The 10169-nt window shown below is 37.7% G+C and overlaps 1 long non-coding RNA gene across 2 annotated transcripts; it reads right to left on the reverse strand.

Moving 5' to 3' along the window:
• Positions 1-4523: 4523 nt before the first annotated feature.
• On the reverse strand, positions 4524-7652 carry LOC102723842 (uncharacterized). Of its 2 annotated transcripts, XR_428160.4 has the most exons (3): positions 7172-7354; positions 6907-6961; positions 4524-5329 (listed from the first exon to the last, which is right to left on the reverse strand). It is a non-coding gene; the product is annotated as an uncharacterized LOC102723842 (long non-coding RNA). The 2 variants fall into 2 exon arrangements; XR_007060638.1 differs by having other exon boundaries at positions 6907-7652.
• Between the last annotated feature and the right edge of the window lie 2517 nt (positions 7653-10169).

The raw sequence follows: 10169 nt of genomic DNA on the forward strand, positions 1-10169 counted from the left end.
TTCACAATATTATATTGTAATTGTTCCTATGGATGTGGTTTTTCAATAGAATAAGTACTTTTAAAAATTTTCAATTTCAATGATATATATGTTTGATTTTTCTTTGACAAAGCATACATATATTGATAGGTAATAATATGAAAATCTTCTAAAAACATTACAGGAACATGAAAATGTAATTAAATCCTCTCTAATTTGTAATGTTTTATGTAAGTGGAACACATTTAACTGAAAACTGCTTTTATATAATCCTCAAACGAGACTAAAAACATATTAACCAGTGGAGTAAGTCTTCAAATTGATAATCTGAACTATATGAGGAGAAACTTCAGGCACTCAAATGTTTGAAATGCTACAAAATATTTCTTTAAACTATTATTTAACAATTTCTGTTTGTAGAGTGCTATACAGTAATCAATATAAATGGCACCTCAAGTGTTTTGGTAGCTTTAACCACATTTACCTCCTATTTTAATTATTAATATGTTGGAGCAGTGCATACAACTAGATTCCAATCTTCCTTTTTAATGGGTAAAAATATGTCCTTTGAGACAGCATTAAAGAGCACCTTGTATAAATTCAATGCCAAGAGACAAGATATTCTTGATTCTGAAGTCTTGTTCTTTGATACAGCAATGTAATTAATAAGAAGAAAAGCACGACATAGATGTGGAGTCTATTTTAATCAAAAATTGTCTACAGATTTTGATGATAAAATTTAAAAATCTACTATATTTAGTTAGTTACAAAAAACTAGGTTGTGGGAACATATTTGGTCAATAAAACACCCCTACCAAATGCTGACAAGAAAAATTTAGGTACCACCTTTCTTCTCTGCAGATGGCCTGAGATGGGTTAATTTGAAAGAATGCTTCCAAACCTGAGGTGACCCCTGAGAACAGCATAATCCACTGCTGTCTCCTACATTCAGTTTCTAAGTTTGTGCTCTTTTAATTTTGGGGGGAGGGAAGCCAGTCCTTTAAACCGATCTTCAGCATGATGGCAGAGCCAAGGAGTGTGGACAGGTGGCACGGTGTCTGACTTTGATCCAGCAGCCACTTGGGCTTTCTCTGGGTCTTCTCTGCCCTAGGGACAACACCACTATTGAAAACATGTCTTTGTGACATTCTCTATGGCAGGAATCCCCAACACATTTTCCTTGAAACTGATGAAATGAATAAAAATAAACCAAAAGGTGTGCTGTTTCTGTTTCCTCCTTTCTGCAGCCCTTCTTGATCATCTAATATTTTTAAATACATTGTCGATCACCAAAAGGAGCATAAGGGCTTTATTGATTTGTAGCAGATGTATTAATAGCCCAGCCCCTATTCCTTACCTGTAGCTGCTGTGAAGAAAACCATTCTTAACATTCTACAAGATCTCATCTCCAGAATTTGCACCTGTTTCTAGCTGAGGACTTTCTCTAGCAGAACGGGAGCTTGTTACTGGGCATGAAGTGGGAAGAAAAGGTGAGGGTAACTAAGAAGAATCTCCCCGGATTCAGTGATGTAATTCTGAGGCATGTTCCACATAGCTTCCCATAGAATTAAGCCCAGATATATACACAGGAACTTGCCTCTTAACACGTGTGGTATTGGCTTTTCTATCTTTCCTGTTTTATTTTGTTCTCTCTTCCTTGTCTCACTTTTGCTGTGTCCTCACTCCTGCTTTAAGAATACCCAAACAAATACATTCATTTATTTTTTTAGACTCTCAGAACACAGTTGATAGTTGAACTTGTAATCTATGATAATCAGCTTGGATGCTATACTGACAGGAAGATGGTGAACTCACAATGTCTAATTAAGATAAAATTAAAAAATATACTGATTCATGTCCAAAGATTTAAACAACCTAAGCGGCAGTGTCACAATTTCTTCTTTTTAGTTTACATGGTTTTTTAAATGCCTACAGTTATTTTAAAGGAAGCCTTGTGTCTAGGAAAAATAGAGACATATGGAATAAATTACTAACCCATTTCTCCTTGAAATCCATTAGATGCTTGATGATTTTTCACATATATTTCTGAATTCAAAAGCTAGTTGCAAATTATTTTTATAAGCATATCCTTATGTAATATTTTGTTTTTAACAGTGAATTGAAGGTTTAAAGATTAAATTATTCTATCCAGAGAATAAAAAGCAATTATTTTACAAGGAGAACATGTGTATGTTGACACAACATTTTAAAATCTAGATTTTAAAATAGGTCCCATATACTTTTGAGTCAATTAGAATATGTTTGCATCAGTCTGTCTACAGTTTTCCACCTGTCAAAATGTACTTGAACTACAAGTACCTTGAACAATTTTGAAATTTATTATTCCTCTGAAACTGATTAAAAGAATTATGGTAGAGTGAAATTCTGATTGGCATAATTTGGGAGAGAAATTATTCCTTGGACATCAACCTCTGCCAAGATAGTTTATAATGACATTGAGACTTTTTGATTTACAAAATTTGTTATATAAAAAATACTAAGACAATGACAGATAATACACAGACTTTAATTAAAATTGTACTAAAATTAAATGTCTAAATAAATTAGAAGGGTACATGGTACATATAATTGTATGCTTATATATTTTATTTGTGCATTTTATTCCTAGGGTTGCTTTTGCTTTAGTTTGTAAAACGTTCTTATTTTTATGATAATGTAGTATATACTAAATAAAGAAAAATCAGGAAGTAGAAAATGAAGAAGAAAACATTAGCTGTTGTCAACCAAATAAAAATTGTGCAATCTCTAAGCACATGAACTATGTATTATTTGTACAGCATGTACAATGTTTATGCTTCACAAGGTGAGGTAGAGACTGCAAAACATTGAACCTGGGACAAATAAGAAAGTAAGGAAATTTTCACAACATATTAATATTATAGAAAATGTTGAACTTAACAGTTAAGATACAAGTAGTGAAAAATGATAGTATTTAAGGAGATCTAGAAAATTTATATCTGTAATGTGAGAAGTATTAGAATAATGCTTGTATTTCTGGATTGGCTCGATTTCTATTGAGACTGGAAACATAGTAGAAGTGAGGGAAAAAGAATTTAAATTGTGGATACTTGAGTTTTATACCTAGCAGTTCGAGAAATACATTTTGTTACTATCAAAGCAGTTGGCACAAGAGTGTACAAAATTCCCCAATTGTGTCTATGTGGAGAAGACATAGACAAACAGAGAATAGCAAAACAGAAATAGCAAAAAAGCACAAATAAATTTTACCTGTATTTTTATGTAAAGGCCAATTAGAGTAGGAAAACATGAAATTTGTGTTTTATCAAAATTTTTCTCTTTCTCATAATATAGTTGATTACTAAAAAAAACTGAAGCATTGGTATGTTCACAAAAAAAAGTAAAATGTTCACAAATAGTGATATTTGTGAAAAAAGTGATATGTTCACACAAAAAAGGTCAAAACCATGGGAATGCAGGCATCAGACAAAATATTCCTAAACACCGAAACTGATTTTGCCCTACGGACATGTACCAAAATGAATGAGTGCAGATTCCTACTGTCATACATCACATAGGACAGTAAAGAAATACATAGTTTTTCCCAATATACGGCATCACACAGGAGCTCCTCCCTAAAGCTAGGACCAAAATTTCTATCCTCAGTATAAAGAAGAATCAGAGGTAAATTAGTCCCATTTCACATTCCCTGGAAATGGCAAATAAAAATGACTTGAGATTGGACAGATTTAAAGAAACTCAATCGTTAATGATTTACAGCAATTAATTTAAAAATTGTTTAAATGTGCAGTCCAAACATACATCCAAACACCTTTAGGTCAAGAATTAACATAATGTGGTCCCAGAATGGTGGTGCCCTTAGTAGACTTACAAAAAAATTCAAATTCTCTTTGGCAAATTTTCTTCTTACTAATCATCAGAAGTGCACAAAAATAATTTTCAGAGAAAAATAAATATTTGTCATTCAAAGACATCTAAGTACGCAAGGAAATGATATTCCACCATTTGAAAGGAAACAGAAAAAGAGTACAAACAGATACACAAAGATTCATTAGTAGAAATATCACCGTTAAATTATAAAGCACATTTGCTTTAAAAAAAATTTTAAAAAAGAATACATTTTTAGGAGACTAAAAAATTGATGTAGCAAATTTGAAAAGTAGTTTGTATAAAAAAATAGTATTTTAAATTAAAAACTCAAAAATGAACTCATCAGATTAGACGTGGCCATGGTGGGAGTTAATAAATATTTCAGAATGCATTACAGAAAATTTTGAAAAATGCAAAATGTAGACTGAATCATGAAGAGACATGGAAGATACAGTGAGAAAGTGTAGCATGTGTTTAGTGAGTGTTCTTATAGAAGAAGGGAACTGGGAAGGGACAATATGTGATGGTAATTTGGCTGAAAGTTCTCTAGACTTTTGTAAGACACTAATCTGCATATTCAAAAATTCCATGCATGCTAAGCAAGCTACAATGGAGATAAACCTACAACTATGTATCTCCTAGAGAAATAGTAAAGAATCAGTAAGGGAAAAATATTTCAATTAGCACTAGAAAAATCAAATTATCTTTAATCATATTGAAATAGGAAAGAATGAAAGGTAAAATAAACAATATTATTTGTTAAGAATAATAATGTCATTCTGAAATTCTCAACCAAGAAAAATATTCATCAACCTATGGCTAAATAACATATTTAGAGACAAAAAACAAAATGCCACCAGCAGAATTCCACTAAAGAAACTAAAGAGAAACTGAAAACATGCTTCAGAAAGGTTGAAGTTCTGAAATCAAAGAATGAACACAGAACAAAATATACTGTAAACATACAGATAGATCTAAATAAAAAATCAGGTGTTGAAACAAAAAGATATTTAAAATTAGATAAGCACTGCAATGTGTACCTTAGGAAGAAAATTATTAGGGCTGAAGTATTCAAAGACCCCTTAATTGTCTGACAAGAGCAGAAAGTTGAGTATGACTTAGCAACTCTTTTTTTTTTTTCTTTTTTTGAGAAGGAGTCTCACTCTTTCGCCCAGGCTGGAGTGCCGTGGCGCCATCTCGGCTCACTGCAACCTCTGCCTCCCAGGTTCAAGCAATTCTCCTGCCTCAGCCTCCTGAGTAGCGAGGATTACAGCCACGTGCCACCATGCCTGGCTAATTTTTGTATTTTTAGTAGAGACGGGGTTTCACCATGTTGGTCAGGCTAGTCTCCAGCTCCTGACCTCGTGATCCACACGCCTCGGCCTCCCGAAGTGTTGAGATTACAGGCGTGAGCCACTGCGCGCGACCGACTTTGGAACTTTAATAAATTCACTGGACATTATGCATTTCTCTGTTGTATCTATGAAAACAATAAAAATAAAAGTCATAATTTAAAAACAAGAAGACAGAAACTGATAGGAGAAAATGAGGCATTTTATATATATATACAACAAATTAATAAAACAAATTAAGTATAAATGATCAAAGATTAACTTAAACCTAAGTAGACAATGTTTCTGTTAAAATACAAAGATTGGCAAAATTAAAAAAATCCGTCTCTATCATAGTTACAAGAGAGGCAACTAATATATAAATTTACAGAAACTTTGAAATTCAAACAATACAGATACTGTGTATATATGATATACATACATACTACATGAATATAATTTTTTAAAAAGTTGCTATGTAGACAAAATAGAATGTAAGTTAGAAACATTTATTAAAATAAGTTAGTCTAACCAGTGTGATAAAAGTTTTAAGTTATTAAGATGTGATGACTTAAATGTGCATTAGCCTGATACATATATACATATATACACACACACCACACACTCTCTCTCTCACACACACACACGTATTTCGAGAGTCAAATTATATAAAGCAAAAATATCAGAAAGTAGAAATGGATAAGCCCCCAAATCATTACAGACATTTCAAACACACATCTTTCAGTAATAGATAAAAGAAAAAATTAAAAGAGTAAGTTTTAAAAGAAGCTAGTGGATTTTAAAAAGGGCAAATGTTATATAAGGAACATGAATATTATAATTCATGTTATTTTCATGTTCATACAGAATACTTACAAAAATTAACATTTTCTAGACCATACCACAAATTCAAACAATTTTCACGCAAATAACGTGACATAGAATATATCTCCTAAACAAACAGCAATGAAGGTAGATATCAATACAAAAAAGATAGAAACATAAGCCTAATAATATTGGTTGGAAGCTATTTTAATGAATATTGAAATATTTTAAAGGTGAATAGTCAATACAAATGAACCAAACACTTTTGTAAGGCCACTAAGATGCATGTGTAATGTGTAATGCCTCCTTTTATAAGGAGTAAATCTGTAACATCACCTGGGCTATTTGACAACTGCAAAGTGAATGTGAGAAGGAGAGAAACAGTGAGAGAGAGAGAGAGAGATAAAACCAGTAAAATAAACATAAAGAATGAAGGAGATAGCCAGGCGCCATGGTTCATGCCTGTAATCCCAGCATTTTGGGAGGCCGAGGCAGGTGGATCACCTGAGGTCAGGAGTTCGAGACCAGCCTGGTCCAACATGGTGAAACCCACTCTCTACTAAATATACAAAAATTAGCCTGGCATGGCGGCATGCACCTGGAATCCCAGCTACTCGGGAGGCTGAGGTAGGAGAATTGCTTGAACGTTGGGGGTGGAAGTTGCAGTGAGTAGAGATCACGGGACTGCACCCAGCTTGGGCGACAGAGCAAGACTCCGTGTCAAAAAAAAAAAAAAAAAAAGGAGGAAATAGTACATGAAATAGCAGAATTAAAGCAACTGAGTATATATTTAAAAATGCAAAAGCTCACTTTTTCAGAAAAATATTAAAATATTAAATCTAACAAATATCTAGGTAGACTGATGGAGAAAAATACAGAAAATGCACAAAAAACCAATTACCTGGAATGCGAAGGTTACAAAACGTCAGCAGTTGTAGATTTTAAACAAGCAATGACTTTGAGTTCAATCATGATGGGGTATATTGAAAAGAATCAGAAAAAAAGAAAAAGAAAACTGTTATAAAACTATGTACAAAATGTTATGCACTATTAAAGTCTTCCAATTCTACCAGTTATGGAGTTATTGGTCTTGGACTAACTCTCCTGAAAAGAAAAAAACAAAACAAAACAAAATAAAACATAAAAACGTGGATAAAATGGCCTACCGTGGGCACTGGCAATGCAACCAAGCAGGTAGGACATGGGAGCTACAGTCTCTTTGTCAGAACACAAAGCATTCATACACTCCCGAGCAGGGAGAGCTGGACCAGGAGCGCCCCTCCGCGCTGCCCTTGCCAGAACGCCAGTGGAGCTGGCAGCCGAGTGTGCCGCTCCCGCCCTCAGAGCCGCGGCGGCGGGGGCAAAAATCCTCGGCGGCGGGGGTAAAAAGCCGCGGCGGCAAAAAGCGGCGGCGGCGGGGCAAAAAGCCGCGGCGGCAAAAAAAAACAAACCCACAAAAAGCCGCGGCGGCGGGGGGAAAAAGCCACGGCGGGGAAAAAGCCTCGGCGTAGGGGGCAAAAAACCGCCGAGGCCGGGGCAAAAAGCCACGGCGTCGGGGGAAAAAGCTACGGTGGAGGGGCAAAAAGCCGCGGTGGCGAGGTCAAAAAGCCGCAAAAAGCCGCGGCGGCGGGGGGAAAAAGCCGCAAAAAGCAGCGGCGGCGGGGGCAAAAAGCCGCAGCGGCAAAAAGCCTCAGCGGCGGGGGCAAAAAGCCACGACCGGGGGAAAAAGCCGCAGCGGCAGGGGCAAAAAGCCACGGCGGCAGGGAGCAAAAACCCGCGGGGGTAGGCGCAAAAAGCCGCGGCGGGGGGTTAAAAAGCCGCGTCAGCAAAACCCGCGGCGGCGGGCGCAAAAAGCCGCGGCGGGGGCAAAAAGCCGCAAAAAACCGCGGCTGCGGGGGAAAAAGCCGCGGCAGCAGGGGCAGAAAGCAGCAAAAACCCAAGGCGGCAAAAAGCCTCGGCGGCGGGGGGTGGGGGGGTGCAAAAAACCGCGGAGAGGGGGGCAAAAAACCGCGGTGTCGGGGGAAAAAGCCATGGCCGCGGCGGCAAAAACCCGCGGCGGCAAAAAGCCCCGGAGGCGCGGACAAAAAGCCCCGGCGGTGGGGGTCGAAAGCCGCGTCGGCAAAACCCATGGTGGAGGGGGGCAAAAAGCCGTGGCGGCGGGCGCAAAAAATGCAAAAAGCAGCGGAGGGGGCAAAAAGCTGCAAAAAGCAGCGGCGGCGGAGGCAAAATGCCACAACGGAAAAAAGCCTCGGCGGCGGGGGCAAAAATCCGCGGAAGCGGGGGGAAAAAGCCGCGGAAGCGGGGGGGAAAAGCCGCGGCGGCGGGGGCAAAAGGCAGCGGGACAGGGGCAAAAAACCACAAAAATCTGCGGCGGCGGGGGCAAAAAGCTGCAAAAAGCAGCGGTGGCGGGGGCAAAAAGCTGCAAAAAGAAGCGGCGGCGGGGACAAAAAGCTGCAAAAAGCAGCGGCGGCGGGAGCAAAAAGCCCTAGCGGCAAAAAGCAGCGGCTGTGGGGGCAAAAAGCCATGGTGGCAAAAAGCCTAGGAGGCGGAGGCAAAAAACCGCGGAGGCGGGAGCAAAAGGGAGCAGGGGCAAAAAACCAAAAAAACCTGCGGCAGCGGAGGGAAAAAGCCGCGGCGGCGGGGGCAAAATAGTGGAAATGGGGTAGAAGGCCTGCACAGCTTGGCATTGCTGCTGTGTGATGTGATAGGAAAAGTGCAGCCGAAAACCAAAAAAGATGTAAGTAGGCTTCACTGAGTGCAGCTAAGAACCCAGATGTTATCTTGAGGGTATTAACTAATAAGCAGTTTAAATCAGAATGGCACATTCTGATTTGTTTTTTGTATGTTCACATTTGGCAGGCATAGATACTGTTTGAAGAGAGGAAAGTCAGTAGATAGAGGTAACAAATATGTGCCAAGTCTAGAAACAAGAGACTAGGGGGATAAGGACCTTTCGAAATAAAATGCAAGATTTGAAAACTGATTGGCTGGGGGATGAGGAAAAGGCAGGTCTCTACGGTCAATCTCTGTTTTGCTTTAAGTTGTTAGGGGGTGGTTTTGTCACATATTGTAGAATATGTCATTTCAGTTTTGAACATCTTGAGTTAAATTGTCCTAACATATCTTATGAATTTGATTTTCTTCCCTGGGAAGCTAATATTTCAAAAACTTAAAAAGTATAGATTTCCAACTTGTATCCAATTTATACAATTATCTTTAGGCTGCTGGTTTCAGGAGGAGGCTCATGAATATTCTATTTGCAGAGAATATATCAGGAGTTAACAACAGCGTCAATATTTGTGGACGACCAGTTAACTAAGCCACCTCTTAGTGTATTTAGATGGGAAATCTTAGCAGAAGGTATTCAATAATGAACCAACAGTGACTAAAAAATTCAATATTTAAGTATATTTCATTGTAATTAATTTGAGTTTAAGTAGCCATATACAGCTAGTATTTACTACATTGAACAAAGCAAATAAGAGGAAAAAATAAGTATCTCTAATACTACATGCCAAAATCCTCATCAATTTATTCTAGCTAAAGGAGTTTATCAGAAGCAGCGATTGAAAGCACCAACTAAATCAGCTGGGGTTAATTCACTGTCATTCTCTCAGAACCATCTCTTCTCTGAACAAAATGAGTAGAAGAATTAATTGTGAATCTGCATTTTCCTTGCCTATTTTAAGGTTTCGATGTTGACACTAATTTGTGAAATCCCTCCTGTGGTGTGATATTTCATTTTCCTTGCTTTTTGTTAGGACAACAATGCTTCAGCTCTTAATTTAAAATTATGTTTCTCCCTCCTAGTTTGAGTGAACTTAGAATGCATTCTCTGACATATCCAAGTTTTATGAATTTGGGGGGACAAGCATACTTAATTAGCTAAGACTTCTTATTCTAGGCTTGACCCTGTGTTCGACATCTTTTGAATTTGTAGTTGCATGGGTTGCTCTTTGACGCTGGTTAGTGATCTGGAAACTATATTAACGTTAGGAGAGGTGGTGTATGAGCATTAGAGGTATCCTTGCAAGGAAAGACTTGTCTTATCTCAATACGTCTTTTTTTTGCACACAAGAAAGTCAATCTTTGAGTCTTCTAAAATCTTCCTATTTCCAAGTTGCAGAGTACCATTGGTTCCTAAACAAAGATCTAATTTTTGAC

The sequence above is a fragment of the Homo sapiens genome, chromosome 7 (genome assembly GCF_000001405.40).
Source record: "Homo sapiens chromosome 7, GRCh38.p14 Primary Assembly".
Lineage (NCBI taxonomy): Eukaryota > Metazoa > Chordata > Mammalia > Primates > Hominidae > Homo > Homo sapiens.